General features: G+C 46.3%; 1 pseudogene, besides 2 other annotated features; it reads left to right on the top strand.

Annotated features, from left to right (window-relative positions):
* Positions 12373 to 13524, top strand: FTLP1 (ferritin light chain pseudogene 1; annotated as a pseudogene).
* Positions 12822 to 13358: an enhancer, noted in NCBI's record as "H3K27ac-H3K4me1 hESC enhancer chr20:44603922-44604458 (GRCh37/hg19 assembly coordinates)". NCBI's record gives its function as "activates a minimal SCP1, AML or CMV promoter by ChIP-STARR-seq in primed H9 embryonic stem cells {active_cell/tissue: H9 hESC(primed)}" and the evidence as "EXISTENCE:reporter gene assay evidence [ECO:0000049][PMID:30033119]".
* Positions 15817 to 16036: an enhancer, noted in NCBI's record as "active region_17956". NCBI's record gives its function as "activates an Ori minimal core promoter by ATAC-STARR-seq in GM12878 lymphoblastoid cells {active_cell/tissue: GM12878}" and the evidence as "EXISTENCE:reporter gene assay evidence [ECO:0000049][PMID:35858748]".

Raw genomic sequence — 16287 nt, 5'->3', positions numbered from 1 at the left:
TGAGACACCATCTCAAAAAAAAAAAAAAAGGCCAACAAAACAAAATAAATGACCCTGGTGTGAGGGGAAATAAAGATAGATTGCTTAATTGATACAAGGTTTTCTTTTGTGGTGATCAAAATGTTTTCAAAGTAGTGGTAATCAAAATTAGTTGTGTGTATTCCTAAAACATTTCTAGGCCAGGTGTGGTGGCTCACCCCTGTAATCCCAGCACTTTGGGAGGCTGAGAAGGGTGGTTCATTTGAGGCTAGGATTTTGAGACCAGCTTGGGCAACACAGTGAAACCCCATCACTTCTAAAAAATACAAAAATTAACCGGGCGTGGTGGCACATGCCTGTAATCCCAGCTACTAGGGAGGCTGAGGCACGAGAATCCCTCGAACCCAGGAGGCAGAGGCTGCAGTGAGCCGAGACTGCACCACTGCACTCCAGCCTGGGTGACAGAATAAGACTCTGTCTCAAAAAACAAACAAAAAACATTTCTGGAGGGTACACAAGGAACAGATAATCATGTTAGCCAGGCTGGTCTCGAACTCCTGACCTCAAGTGATCTGCCCTCCTCGGCCTCCCAAAGTGCTGGGATTACAGTCGTGAGCCACGTGTGCCCAGCCCATATACATATATATATATGTATTTTTTTGTTTTTGAGGCATTGTCTCATTTTGTCACCTGGCTGGATCGTGCAATGGCACGATCACAGCTCACTGCAGCCTCGACCTCCTAGGCTCAAGCAATCCTCCCACCTCAGCCTCCGGAGTAGTTGGGACTACAGGCACGCGTCACCATACTCGGCAATTTTTTTTAACTTTTTTTTAGAGACGGGGGGGGGGGGGTCTCCCTGTGTTGCCCAGGCTGGTCTCGAACTCCTGGCCTCCCAAAGTGTTGGGATTAGAGGCCTGAGCCATGGCGCCTGGCCACCCAGAAGGTTCTGCTGGGAGGAGGGGCCAGATGAGGCTGAAGCATCTGCATCTTTTGGAAGGTCTGTTTGAGGCAGCTCCGCAGCCCGCTTGGGGAGATAAACCTCTCTTGGCATGCCCCTGGCTTTGCACGGGCTAACACCGCCACTCTCTGCAGCCCCTGCGCGTGGTCCCCAAGGTCCGCCTGGATGGGCCACTGGACAGGTCTCCAGCCCGGCCTCCTGGTTCAGGTCTGGGAGACCTGGTGGAGGCAGCGGGTGCCCCCTGCTGGCAGCAAACGGGAGCTGAACAGAGTGGTCCCTCCATCCTTTCACCCCACCCTCCTCGCCCAGCCTTTAGGGCTCCTTGAAGGCATTCTCCACTTACATCTCTTCTGGTTCCAAAACACGTTCATACATAACGTAGACGTCCTAATTGCACCATTTGTGAAGACTTCATTAGGGATGAATAAATAACAGAGTCTGCCAGAGCTCAAATCCTGGTCTGGGACCTGACTGCTGTGTGACCTCTGGCAAGTCATTGGACATCAGAATAACTCAGCTCCTCATGGATAAAATGGGGACAGTCATATTACCTAGCTCATAGGACTGCTTTGAGGATTACAGTCAAAGCGTAAAGTGTCCAAAGTGGTGCCCATCAAGCAGCAAGCATTAGTTACTATTAGGTGCTAGACCCAGGGCTCATGATTTCAGTGACAGAGAGCTCACCTGTGCCAGACGCCATTCTGCGTTCTTCCTGGTGAGGAGATCATTTAATATCACATCTCCATGAAGTAAGTGTGCTTATCTTCACCCTCCACTTTCCAGGGGAGGAAACCAAGGTACAGAAAAACCTAGCAATTCCTAGACAGGAAGGGGCTTAAAAAAAAAGAACTGCCGGGATTGATGGCTCACACCTATAATCCCAGCACTTTGAGAGGCCGAGGTGGGAGGATCAATTGAGGTCAGGAGTTCGAGACCAGCCCGGCCAACATGGCGAAAACCCATCTCTACAAAAAAAAAAAAAATACAAAAAATCAGCTGAGCGCAGTGGCGAGAGCCTGTAATCCCAGCTACATGGGAGGCTGAGGCAGGAGAATCACCTTTGAACCCAGGAGGTGGAGGTTGCAATGAGCTGAAATTGCGCCACTGCACTCCTGCCTGGGAGACAGAGGGAGACTCTGTCTGAAAAAAAGAAAGAAAGAGAGAGAGGGGAAAGAAAGAAAGAGAGAAGGAGGGAGGGAGGAAGGAAGGAAGGAAGAAGGAAGGAAGGAAGGAAAGAAAGAAAGAAAGAAAGAAAGAAAAGAAAGAAAAAGAAAAGAAGAAAGAAAGAAAGAAAGAAAGAAAGAAAGAAAGAAAGAAAGAAAGAAAGAAAGAAAGAGAAAGAAAGAAAAGAACCAAGCAACTTAAGGTGGTGGAACATGATTTGAACCCAGGGAAACCTACTCCAGAGCCCATACTTTAATCACTACATCTTCACAGCAAACTGGTGTGACAGGAGCTGTGCCCATTTGCTAGGTAGGGAGACTGAGGCTTAGAGAGGTGAAGTGACTTGCCTCAGATCATAGATTAATTGGTAATTGAGTCCTCACCTGGACTTGACCCAGTTCTGTCTCCTTGCATTGTCTCATGTCATCCCTTGGCAACTCAGCATGTGTGGTGACTCTGTGTGACAAGTGAGGACGCCCAACTGAGATGATTGAGTGACTTGCTAAGGTCACAGAGCAAGTAAGTAGGGAGCTTGTTCTGTTGGGTTCGGGGCTCAAGGACATTCTGTTCGGGGCCCAGCACCTCCTCAGCGCCCTGCTGAAGCCCCTGGCTATCTCTTGTCTTGACAATCACAGCTCGTCTTCCCCAGCCACTTGCTTTCAGGCCAACCTCGGCACAGCTGTCAAAGTCATGGTCTCAAGCTGTCATTCTGCCTGAGCCTGGCCTCAGCATTGGCTCTCATGGCTTCCCGTATGGCTTGAGGCTCAGCTTCCATTCCCCTGCCTCCTCCTGCCTTCCATTCCCCTACCTCCTCCTTCCTCTGGGAGGCAGCTTGGGTACAGTGAAAAGAACAGGGAGGACCAGGCATAGTGGTTCATATCTGCAATCCTAGCACTTTGGGAGGCCTAGGCAGGTGGACCACTTGAGGTCAGGAGTTCGAGACCAGCCTGGCTAAAGCGGTGTCTCTACTAAAAATACAAAAATAAGCTGGATGTGCTTGCTTGAACCCAGGAGGTGGAGGTTACAGTGAGCCAAGATCTTGCCACTGTACAGCCAAGATCTTGCCTGGGAGACAGAGCGAGACTCTGTCTCAAAAGAAAAAAAAAAGAAAGAAAAAAGAACAGGGGGTTGAGTCAGACAGTCTGGAGTTCAAATCCAACTGTGCTCCTTCATTTCTGTATGACCTTCGGTGAGTGTCTTCACCCCTGGAACTCACATTTCATCACCTCTGAAGTGGGCATAACAATCTGTGCTTTGCAGGCTGCTGTAAGGATGAAATGCAATAAAGTGTGTACAGCACTTGGCACACAGTAGATGCTCAATAAGTGTTAGATTCCTTTGCTAGTCCTTTGCTCTAGACCCTTGTCTGCTTCCATGCATGCCCCCTCCTCCCAGGCTCCAAAGTCCCCACCTTTAATCCCAGGGTGGTCCCTTGACCTGTTGGAGAGGCCTCAGTGCCAGGGTTGGGCTGGTGGTGTAGGCCGAATATCCTCTGTGGTGCCTGGGACAGAGGGGAAGGTCACAGAACTAGACACTGGACTCACAGGCAGACTGATGTTATCAAATGAAACTCAGCCATTGTTCTATGGCCCAGAAAAGATTGATTGAAGCCAGGGGTGGTGGCACACATATGTAATCCCAGCACTTGGGGGGATTGAGGCAGGCAGATCGCTTGAGTCCATAAGTTAGGGACCAGCCTAGGCAACATGGTGAGACCTCGTCACTACAAAATAAAAATTAAAAAAAGGCCAGGCGCGGTGGCTCACGCCTGTAATCCCAGCACTTTGGGAGGCCGAGGCGGGCGGATCACGAGGTCAGGAGATCGAGACCATCCTGGCTAACACGGTGAAACCCCGTCTCTACTAAAAATACAAAAAATTAGCCGGGCGTGGTGGCGGGCGCCTGTAGTCCCAGCTACTCGGGAGGCTGAGGCAGGTGAATGGCGTGAACCCGGGAGGCAGAGCTTGCAGTGAGCCGAGATCGCGCCACTGCACTCCAGCCTGGGCGACAGAGCGAGACTCCGTCTCAAAAAAAAAAAAAAATTAAAAAAAAAAATTCGTGTGGTGCAGGCCTGTGGTCTCAGCTACTTGGGAGCAGGGGAGGCTGAGGTGGGAGGATCGCTTGAGCTCAGGACGTCAAGGCTACACTGAGCCATGTTTGTACCACTGTACCCTAGCCAGGGTGACAGACCAAGACCCTGTCCTAAAAAACAACCCCAAAGATTGACTAAGCACCTACTACGTTTCAGTGACTATGCTTGGTAATGGGGCTACAGTGGTCAACAAGAAAGACAAGATCCTGGCCAGGTGCGGTGGCTCACACCTGTAATCCCAACACATTGAGAGGCCAAGGCTGGAGGACTGCTTGAGGCCAGGAGTTCAAGACCAGCTTGGGTAACATAGTGAAACCCCCATCTCTATTTTTTTTTAATTAAAAATTAAAGGCCGGGCACGGTGGCTCACGCCTGTATTCGCACCATTGCACTCCAACCTGGGTGACAAGAGCAAGACTCCATCTCAAAAAAAGAAAGAAAGAAAGAAAGTTCCCTGTTTGATATATATCCTCTTACCTATGCAACGTTCAGGCATGTGACTAGGCACCACACATAATAATACTAGGTACATTTATTAAGCACTTGCACTGTTTTCCACACAGTTTAATTTAATCCTCACAGATACCATATGAAATATTAATATCATCCCTAGTTTATAAGAGAGAAACAGAGGAGTAGAAAGTTAAGTAACTCCAAGCGGAGCTGGGGGTTGACTGCAGATGTTCTGATTCCAGAGCCTATGAGCTTAACTGCACTGCCACGCATTCTCTCTTTTACTCCTCAAAGTTCCCGTTTTACAGATGAGGAGACTGAGACTTGTGGACCCTCAGTTTGGTCTGACTCTAGAGTTCCTTGCCCCATGTTATCCTTCCAACAGCTGACTCATTCAACAATCATTTTCTGCTCAGCAGAGAAACAAACCAGACTCAGGACTGGCTTTGGGAGGCTCCGTCCATCGAGGAGCCTGGCAGGTAACTGGCAGCATCTCACGGTGGTGTGTGTTCTGTGACAGAGGTAGGCAGAGCATGCTAGGGGAACGCGCTGAAGGGAAATACCAGCTCTGCTGGGAAGAAGGCTTCCTGGAAGAGGTGATACTTAAGGCAGACATAGAAAGATAAAGAGACTAAAAAGGTCACATGGACTTGGGGGAGGGGCACTGCCTGACAATGCATACACAATGCAATCCTTCCTAGGTATGGGATAATTTGGGCCAGGTAATTTTTCTGTTTGTCTCAAATCCATTCTCTGCCCTTCTGCTCTGCTCCGTGCAGCAGAGGCTAATCCCTGCAAACCATGTTTCCTGGACTCCCTTGCCAACTGGCTTTTGGCTAGGATTGGCCAATGGGAAGTCCTGGTGAGAGACTGGAGAGAAAGAAGGGAGAAGCCAGGGTCTTTCTCCTCCATTTCTCTCGTCTTCGGGAAGGATGGGGTGGGGGGATCTTTAGCAGTTGCAATGACTCCTTCATGGTTCAGCTCCTGCTAGACAGACCTGCTGTGATTCCAGCTTCTCTCAGGGTGGCCCCAGTTGCTGGTCTCCAGTAATGCTACCTCCTCCCTTGATATGAATACTTCCAGCCCTGGGTGAGGTAGCAGCTTCATGAAGTTGCTAATCTCAGGTTTGCCTCAACTTCCCCTGGTTGCTATTTCTACCCATAAAACAACTTTGTAGCTAATTCTCCACATTAAGTTCCCTCTGTGTGTTGTGTTGTGTCTTGTGTGTATGTGTTTAGAGGCAGAGACAGGGTCTTGCTCTGTTGCTCAGGCTGGAGTGCAATGGCGCAGTCATAGCTCACTGCAGACTCAAACTCCTGGGCTCAAGCTATCCTCCCACCACAACCTCCCCAATAGCTAGGACTACAGGCACATGCCACCATGCCCAGCTAATTAAAAAAAAAACAATGTTTTTGTACAGACAAGGGTCTCACTATGTTGCCTAGGCTGGTCTCAAACCCCTGACCTCAAGTGATCCTCTCACCCTGGTCTCCCAAAGCGCTGAGATTACAGGCGTGAACCACTTCATCTGGCCTAAATTCCCTCTTTGGAATCATCTAGTAGTGGTAGAAGTCTTGTTTTCCTGGCTAGACCCCTGATATTCTGGGTCTTTGTTTCCTTGTCTATAAAATGAGGGTTCATTGGTTCATTCATAGAACAAATAGCTATCTAGTATCTACCTGTATCTCCAAAATGTGCTCAATGGTGAGGATACCACAGGAAACAAGACAGATTAAAGGAGACAAAAATCCAGGCCCTGCCTACCCTTTATGTCTTTGTAATGATCAGATGAGATGTTTCCATACATGTCGCCTGCTGCCTGGTGTCAGGAATTACCATCACATACAAACAGTCAAATACTATTTGGACTTCAGCCTATTTTCTTTTTCTTTTATTTTATTTATTTATTTATTTTGAGACAGAGTCTTGCTCTGTGGCCCAGGCTGGAGTGCAGTGGCACAATCTTGGCTCACTGCAACCTCTGTCTCCCCAGTTCAAGCAATTCTCCTGCCTCAGCCTCCCGAGTAGCTGGGATTACAGGCGTCCGCCATTATGCCCAGCTAATTTTTGTATTTTTAGTAGAGACGAGGTTTCGCCAGGTTGGCCAGGCTGGTCTTAAACTCTGACCTCAGGTGATCCACCCACCTTGGCCTCCCAAAGTGCTGGGGTTACAGGCATGAGCCACCGCACCCAGCCCATTCAGCCTATTTTCTAAATCCAAGTGTTGTGGCCCTAGGGCATTTCCCCACTACCCCATCCCCCTCCAATACTGAAAGAGAAAGATTTAGGACAAATAGAAGGAAATCTTAATTTACACCGTGGGAAGTCAACTTAAGGGACTCATTATCCCAAGTGGTGGTACAGTCTTAAGCTATAAATAGGTTTTTAAAAACAGGGTTAGCTAAACCCATAGACAGCAGTGACATGAAGAAAGCAGGTAGAGATGAACCCTCGGACCCACCTGCTGGCTGCCTACTCTCAACCCCGCTGCCCTTCCGGGGCATCTGGTGCAACATGAGGAGCACTGGACTGGGAGTCAGTAAGCCAGGGTTTGAATCCTACCTCTGCTGACGATCAAGCACATGACCTCAGACAGTCACTGCTCTGGGGCCTCAGGTTCCTCATCCGTAACATGGGAATGCAGAGAGCATCTAATATCTCTGGCTGTTGTGACTGTAGTTTAAAAATGCACATAGGGCCGGGCAAGGTAGCTCACATCTGTAATCCCAGCACTTTGGGAGGCTGAGGTGGGTGGATCACCTGAGGTCAGGAGACTAGCATGGCCAACACCGCAAAATCCCGTCTCTACTAAAAATACAAATTAGCCGGGCATGGTGGTGCGTGCCTGTAATCCCAGCTACTCGAAGGCTGAGGCAGGAGAATCGCCTGAGCCTGAGAGGCGGAGGCTGCAGTGAGCCGAGACTGCACCACTGCACTCCAGCCTGGGCGACAGAACGAGACTCCATCTTAAAAAAGAAAAAGACCAGCCTGGGCAACATGGTGAAACCCCACCTCTACCAAAAAAATATACAAAACTTTGCCAGGTGTGGTGGTGTGCACCTGTAGTCCCAGCTGCTCAGGAGGCTGAAGTAGGAGGATCACTTGAGCTTGGGAGGACTGGTTGCAGTGAGCCAGGGTCTGCCACTGCACCCCAGCCTGGGCAACAGAGCCAGATCCTGTCTCAAAATAAAAATAAAAATGCATACAAAACACTGAATGCATCCCCTGATACTTGGTAAGTACCCAGTAAACATTCACCCAGCCGGGGTAATATGGGGAAAACCCATCTCTACAAAAAATACAAAACAATTTAGCTGGGTGTAATGGCGCGTACCTGTAGTCCCAGCTGCCTGGGAGGCTGTGGTGGGAGGACTGTTTAAGCCTGGTAGGCAGTGGTTGCAGCGACCCATGTTTGCACCACTGCATTCCAGCCTGGGTAACAGAGTGAGACCCTGTCTCAAAGAAAAAACAAAAAAGCCAAAAACAAACAAACAAACAAACAAACAATCTGCTAGTGGCCGGGCGCAGTGGCTCGCTCCTGTAATCCTAGCACTTTGGGAGGCCGAGGTGGGCGGATCACGAGGTCAGGAGTTCGAGACCAGCCTGACCAACATGGTGAAACCCCGTCTCTACTAAAAATTCAAAAAAATTAGCTGGGCGTGGTGGCGCGTGCCTGTAATCCCAGCTACTTGGGAGGCTGAGGCAGGAGAATCACTTAAACCCGGGAGGCGGAGGTTGCAGTGAGCCGAGTTTACGCCACTGCACTCCAACCTGGGCGACAGAGCGATGCTCTGTCTCAAAAAAATAAATAAATTAATTAAAAACTGCTAGTGTGATTATTATCTACTGCAGGAGATCTGGCCTGGGCTCACAGCCCCTTCCATTACACCAGAAAATTTCTGTGATCTTGAGCAAGTCAAATCCCCTCTCTGGGCTTCAATTTCCTCATCTGTAAAATGGGAAAATAGTAACCACCAGGCCTGACTCAGGAGAAGACAAAATATCACCTAAGAGTCAAGCATTATGATGAGAAATGGTACAGCAATCTAAAAGTATGGAGTCTAGAGCCAGATTGCTTAGTTTTCTTTTTTTTAAATAAATGAAAAAATTTTTATTGAGTATTACTTTATACATGTAAATTAAAAGTGAATCTATATTAAGTTGACTATTCTACAATAAAAACCTATGCAATGGGAATAATCAAAGCTGTCTACACAATACTAATGTGGTCAATAAATTACCCAGATGTTTTTCCACAAATATTTGGATTACCTGAATTAGCTGATTTTTCCACAAAAGTTAAATTTGAGCTTTAATATGGTAGCAGCAGGATGCTGCTTAAGTTTAGAAGAAAAACATAAGAATAAAAACCCTGAATAGCATAACCAAATCTTCCAAGAAATAAGTTCACCAAAAAAGTAGCATACACCTATTTGGTATCCAGAGGAGGAAACAAAACAAAACACAGGCACTTAATCAACATCCACCAAGTGATCATCACTAACATTCTATTATTACCAGAGCAACTGTCAATACGTGAACCGTAGATTAGGACAGACTTACATATCTAAAAACAAACCAGTAATCAATAATATATACAGAAATACTAACTTGCAGTCACATTTAAATACCATCAACAGTTTGGTGTATCTGATATAGACTGAATTCATTTCATCACTGCTATAAATTCCTTAAAAGTGTTCTTTTCCTAATGTAACATTATCTTTAAAAAATGGTAAGATATTTCCCAATATGCATCAGTTCTTTCACTCACCCATTCAATAAATGTTGCAGCAAATTAAATAGAACCTATTAACTAGATCTAAAAACAATGGCTGAATAATTAACACAAAGAAGTACTTTTGAGTAAACTATTCAGATTAGACAGGCTAATGCTAACTAAGACTGCATTTTGTGCTACTGACATGCACTATATAGATCGTACACTACTAGATGGAAGGTTGGTCCACGTCCATTTATTTAAAGATTCTGTAACACCTATAATAGTATTTAATACAGCTCCCACACATAATATTCCTCTCACATAGACATAGTTATTTTTAGTGGGGATAAGGTATGACTTTAACATGCTATGAGATTCTAGCTAAGTAAAATAAAAACAATATGGGCTCAGGTTTTCTTAGGTAATATTAGTTCAAGTTTTTAAACTGGGAAACAACCAACTTCCATATATCCAGGAGAAACTTAGCATGGGGGGAGGTGCCTTAGTTGATGTGCCTGATAAGCAAACTGTTAGTCGTCTATTAGTATTATGTTTTCAGCTTAATGTAACAACAAAAGAAAGGTGTCACACTACTTCTCAGATAATATGGGAATTACAATTACAGATAATATGGGATTACAATTACAATCCCATGGGATATCCTTTATTTATGAAAGCATAGTTCCAATGCAAAAGTCAAGCTTTATGGTTACATATTAGGATAGGTTCAGACCCAATATGACCATGTTTAGCACTAACTTTAACATGTTAAAGTTCTGATTCCTGAATGTTTTTCTCACTTAATATATTATCTCCAATGACAAGCTGGTGTGTCTGGCTTCTTATGCTGAAAATATATGCCTGAATCCTGTAACAAGTTATTAACAAAATCATGAATAGTTATTAAATAAGTGCCAGCACTACATGGAACTTACTGGTCACCAACTCAGAACGATAAAACTACACACATATGCACACAAAAAAACCCCAAAGAAACATACCTATCACTGTACATATGAATACTGTCCAGGATATCAGATCAATTATCAAATCCAAGGTCTCTGCTGTTTTGTCTTACAGTGTTGAATATATGAATGCTTCTCTATTACACTGACTTGTATTATTTTCAAGAAATTATTAAGTGGATTCAAAATCTTACATTTTTATTTCTAATTATAAAATCCAGATTAATCCAGAAAACACAAACCACATGTAACTGAGGTAGGTTTTTCACCTTAAGGATACATTGCTTCTACCACAATTTAAAATTTTTAAAATTGAAGAAAAAAAAAAGACTACATTGCTCCCTATACCTGCCTCTGATACTTAATTTTCTACGTTTGAAACTACTTGAACAAGTGTGACAGTGCTCTACTATATTTAGTAAATCCCTTAGTACCTACAAATACACACCCAAAATCCCTTCCCCCCTTCTCTAATGGTCACTGTTGTATAAAAAAATTGCCAACAACTCTAGAAAGATGAAATAAAGATTACTATAGCAATCTTCAGTTAATTCATTTCAGAAATCAAGGAAGCAAGTTACGTTCATTTTAAAGATGACAAACTTACTATTTTGAAAATGAGCTCATAAACACATTAGAACTTTGAATGTGCTTTAGTATGCCACAAATTCCCAGGAGATTTAAGAAATAGTATTTCTGAACAGAAATAATAATTTCACAAATACTTTATTGACAATAGACAAGTCTTTTAGGGTAGTGCACCTGTATTAAAAACTGCCTTCTAACAATCTCAACACTTTTTATAAATTTTCAGGGGAAACTGTAGCAGATCCTACTTTATTTTTCAATAGTTAGTGTAAAAGTCTGTATGTAAAATAAATACATATTTTAAGGAGATAGAAGAAGGACTGCACATGAAATGCTTTGACTAAGTTGTAAGGCTCCTGTCTTTACACTATCATTATGTTAAAAAGGCCAAAAAAAGTCACTGCTAGAAACATTCCCCCAAAAATTCTTAAACAGCTCAGTCTTTAAAAGTATTAATAATTTTTTTTTTGAGACAGAGTTTCATTCTTGTTGCCCAGGCTGGGGTGCAATGGTGCGATCTCAGCTTACCGCAACCTCCGCCTCCTGGGTTTTCAAGCAATTCTCCTGCCTCAGCCTCCCGAGTAGCCAGGACTATAGGCATGCGCCACCACGCCTGGCTAATTTTGTATTTTTAGCAGAGACGGGGTTTCTCCATGTTGGTCAAGCTGGTCTCCAACTCCCGACCTCTGGTGATCCACCTGCCTCGGTCTCGCAAAGTGCTGGGATTACAGGCATGAGCCACAGCACCCAGCCTAACAGATTGCTTAGTTTTCAATCCTAGCTCCATCCTTTACTTAGGTAGATTCTTTTATTGTTCTGTGCCTCAGTTTCCTCATATGTAAAATGGAGATAATAATGACAACCACTTCGTAGGTTCATAGGGTGGTTGTGAGGATAAATAAATGAATGTAAATAAACCACTTAGAATGGTGACCGGCACAGAGTAATTTAAGGTATTTCTTTTTTTGCTTTTGTTTTTGTTTTTGTATTTTTGAGATGGAGTCTCTATCGCCCAGGCGAGAGTGCAGTGGCACTATCTCAACTCCCTGCAACCTCCACCTCCCAGGTTAAAGCGATTCTCCTGCCTCAGCCTCCCAAGTAGTTGGGATTACAGGCAATGTGCCACCATGCCTGGCTAATTTTTGTATTTTGTGGTAGACACCAGGTTGGTCAGACTGGTCTTGAACTCCTGACCTCAAGTGATCCTCCCGCCTTGGCCTCCCAAAGTGTTGGGATTACAGACGTGAGCTACCGCACCCGGCCTAAGTGTATGATTACTATGGAATGAGGCAGACCTGGTTCCATATACCAGCTCCATCCTCCTGGCTGCATGACCTTGGAAAAGTCTCTTCCCCTCTCTGAGCCTCAGCCGCCTCCTCTCTACAGTGGAAGATGATTTAACAACTCCTGTTTCCTTAAGATACCATGACTCCTCAGCAGAGTCACATTGGGCAGTCCCACGGATCTGTGTCTTGCTTCAACAGTGTTTGGACGGAAGAGATCCTGGGACTTCCTCTCTTCCAGCCTCTCACCATCAATCTCCTCTCCACTTGCAACCTCAGGGACCATCTTTTTAGCCACCTTCTGCTTCTGGGTCCAGCCAACACCATTGTTTGTGGTTAGCTCCTTCTTACCAGCCCATGAGCTCCCAGATTCGTCAGAATTATTCCACTGAGGTGGAGGCAGCCGTGAACCACCTGCTCAATTTGCACCTGCAGGCCTCCTCATCTGCCTCTCTCTGGGCTTCTACTTACACTGTGACGATGTGGCTTGGGAGGGCGTGGGTCACTTCTTCCACGAATTGGCCGAGGAGAAGCGCAAGGGTGCCTTAAAGATGCAAAACCAGTATGGCGGCTGCATTCTCTTCCAGGACATCCAGAAACTGGCCCAAATTGAGTTAGATAAGACCCTGGACACGGCTGGACGTGGTGGCTCATGCTTGTAATCCCAGCACTTTGGGAAGCCAAGGCAGGTGGGTCAGTTGAGGTCAGGAGTTCAAGACCAGTCTGGCCAACGTGGTGAAATTGTATCTCTACTAAAAATACAAAAAAAATTAGCCAGGTGTGGTGGCACACGCCTGTAGTCCCAGCTACTAAGGAGGCTGAGGTGGATCGCTTGAACCTGGGAGGCAGATGTTGCAGTGAGCTGAGATCACACCACTGCACTCCAGCCTGGGTGACAAAAAAAAAATAATAATAAATAAATAAATTTTAAAAACCCTGAATGCCACGGAAGCCGCCATGGCCCTGGAGAAAAATCTGAACCAGGCCGCTTTTGGATCTTCAAGCCCTGAGTCCTGCCCGCACAGACCTCCATCTCTGTGACTTCCTAGAGAGTCACTTCTTAGATGAGGAAGTGAAACTCATCAAGATGGGCGACCACTTGACCAACCTTCCCAGGGTGGCTGGCCCCCAGGCTGGCCTGGGTGGGGTTCTCTTGGAAAGGCTCACCCACCCTCAAGCACGACTGGGAGCCTTAAGGGCCCCTCCCAAAGTATCAGGGCTTCTGCCTAAGCCTCTCCCTCCAGCCACTAGGCAGCTTTTTAATTACCCTGGAGCCTTCTTCCAAGCCTTGATCCAAATGGAAATAAAGCTCTGTGGAAGCAAATTAAAAAAAAAAACAAAACATGACTCAGAAAGCACACACACTGCCTGGCATCTTCCCTCCTCTTTCCCTCTTGGCTCTTCTACATTTTTCTCAATGGTCCACTTTAATGTCCTCTGACCCAGAGCCCCTTCACTGCTTCCATAAGTCTCTCTAAGCTGGGGCCATGGAGTTCGAGACCAGCCTGGGCAAAATAGCTAGTCCCCATCTTTATAAACAATTTTTTAAAAGATAAAACAAATTTTAAAGAGAAAACAAAAAAATAAAGCTGAGACCAGAACTAGACTGCACTCTCTGGAGGAACAAACCCTGGATTCACAGGCAGAATACAAGGATTTGCCTGCTTGTCTTTGTGATGGAAGGGTTCTGGTATGTTGTTTCCAAGGAGCCGAGACCTTGGGCTGTTAGCTTTCCCCCTCTGGGCCTTGGGCTCCTCTTCGGTTTCATGATGAGTCTGTTTCATCTGTACCATGACATTCTGCAATCTTGTGATGCTGTGGCAAAGGCCAGGATTAAGGTTGAGTCTTTTTTTTTTCTTTTTAATAGACAGGGTCTCACTCTCTCACCAAAGCCAGAGTGCAGTGGCGCACTCATAGTTCACTGCAGACTCTACCTCCTAGGAGGCTTCAGTCTTAGTGGGGAAGGGAATGAGGGTACTGTGGGGCTACTTCGGAGTACCCCAAACTTGGGAGAGGTGACTTGGTCAGATGTAGGATGCACCCTACTACCCTACTGGCATGAGGGGGCAGATGCTTCTGTAGGGCTGAGGAATGGGGTCCACACGGGAAAACTGCCTGGAGATAGTAAAACCAACATGTCATCATGCCAGTGCTGACCTAGCTCTTCAGAGCTGCTCTGGGGCCTGGTCCTGCTGGTTGCAAGGGATAGGGGATGAGGGTCCTAACCTATCCAGAGGCCTCCTGTTCCATTCCCTCAACCCAAAAGGGAAACCTAGGAAAGAAAACTTTACCTAAGAAAAGGACCAGATGAATCCCCTCATACACAAGTGCACACAAATAACAGCTCAAAGCACCCTTTGTCCTTTTTATTTTTATTTATTTATTTATTTTTTGAAGCGGAGTTTCTCTCTTGTCGCAATGGCACAATCTCGGCAACCTCCGCCTCTGGGCTTCAAGCGATTCTCCTGCCTCAGCCTCTCGAGTAGCTGGGACTACAGGCGCGCGCCACCACACCCAGTGAAATTTTGTATTTTTAGTAGAGACAGTTTCACCATGTTGGCCAGGCTGGTCTCGAACTCCTGACCTCAAGTGATCCACCGGCCTCAGCCTCCCAAAGTGCTGGTTATTACAGGTGTGACCCACCGAGCCCGGACCTTTTCTCCTTATTAATAGGTCTTCTCCTTAGGACTTTTTGTTTGTTTGTTTGAGACAAGAGTTTCCGCTGTTGTTCCCCAGGCTGGAAGGCAATGGCGTGATCTCGGCTCACCGCAACCTCTGCCTCCCGGGTTCAAGCTATTGTCCTGGCTCAGCCTCCTGAATAGCTGGGATTACGGCATGCGCCACCACGCCCAGCTGCTTTTGTATTTTTCGTACAGATGGGGTTTCTCCATGTTGATCAGGCTGGTCTCAAACTCCCAACCTCAGGTGATCCGCCCGACTCAGCTTCCCAAAGTGCTGAGATTACAGGCGTGAGCCACCGCGCCCAGCCTGCTTAGGAGTTTTTTTGAGATTTTTTTCCCCCAAAATTTGTATCTTTCAATTAAGGAAAATAGCCTATGGAACTACAGAGACTTAGGGACAAAAACCAGAGCGCCTTACTCCCTCTTGTGCTCTTCCACTGCAAACTGCTAAAAGTCTTAAAACAGAAGGTGACATTTCCGGAGGAAGGACATACCTTAAGGGCAGCTGACTTTTAATTAAAATTTTTTTTCTTTCTCCACTTTTAAAGGATAGGTAGTTGACTTGTATTTATTTATTTTTTGAAAGAGGGTCTCGCTCTGTCGCCCAGGCTGAAGTGCAGTGGTGTGATCACGGTTCGCTGCAGCCTCAACCTCCCAGACTCAAGCGATCCTCCCACCTCAGCCTCCCGAGCAACTGGGATTATAGGCACGCGCCACCATGCCTGGCTAATTTTTCTTTTTTTTCTTTTTTTTGTAGAGATGGGGTCTCGCTCTTTTGCCCAGGCTGGTTTGGAACTCCTGGGATCAAGCGATTCTCCTGCCTTGGCGTCCCAAAGTGTTGGAATTACAGGCGTGACTCACAGCGCCCGGCCTCAGCTCTATTAATGTTAACAAATATGTATACAAACCTAAGGGACAAGCATTAACTTCTTTCCATTTCCCCGACTCCTGCCATCCGTACTTAGCTCCTGAGTCCCTTTATTGGATGTGATTTTGGACCAGCCCTTCCCATACCCAGACCTCAGTTTCCCTATCTGTACAATAATTATACATTCCCTTCCCAACAAAACACATCAAACCTAACGGGCAGAGCTCGATTGGGTTGCAGCAGCGCGCTAAGTAATAAGTAATGAGTCAGGTAAAATGACTGACAACATGAATTCCTCTTTGGCCAAGCCAAAGTCGCCCGCGGCCACACGCTCTTCCGGGCTGTTGTAGGAGGGGCGCGGCCAAGCCACCGGGAGCCACGCCCCCCACTGGGAGCCACGCCCCAAGAGAGCGGGGCGCGCATTCGCCGCGCCCAACCCTGCGGCCTAGGGAAGGGACCAGAATGACGTCACAACCACTTCCTACGTAACACTCCGCCGAGATAAAGTAGTCCCCAAACCATAGTGGGCT

This window comes from Homo sapiens, chromosome 20 (assembly GCF_000001405.40).
Source record: "Homo sapiens chromosome 20, GRCh38.p14 Primary Assembly".
NCBI lineage: Eukaryota > Metazoa > Chordata > Mammalia > Primates > Hominidae > Homo > Homo sapiens.
The sequence above is the reverse complement of the archived record's forward strand: the minus strand, read 5'-3'. Positions and strand labels throughout refer to the sequence as shown.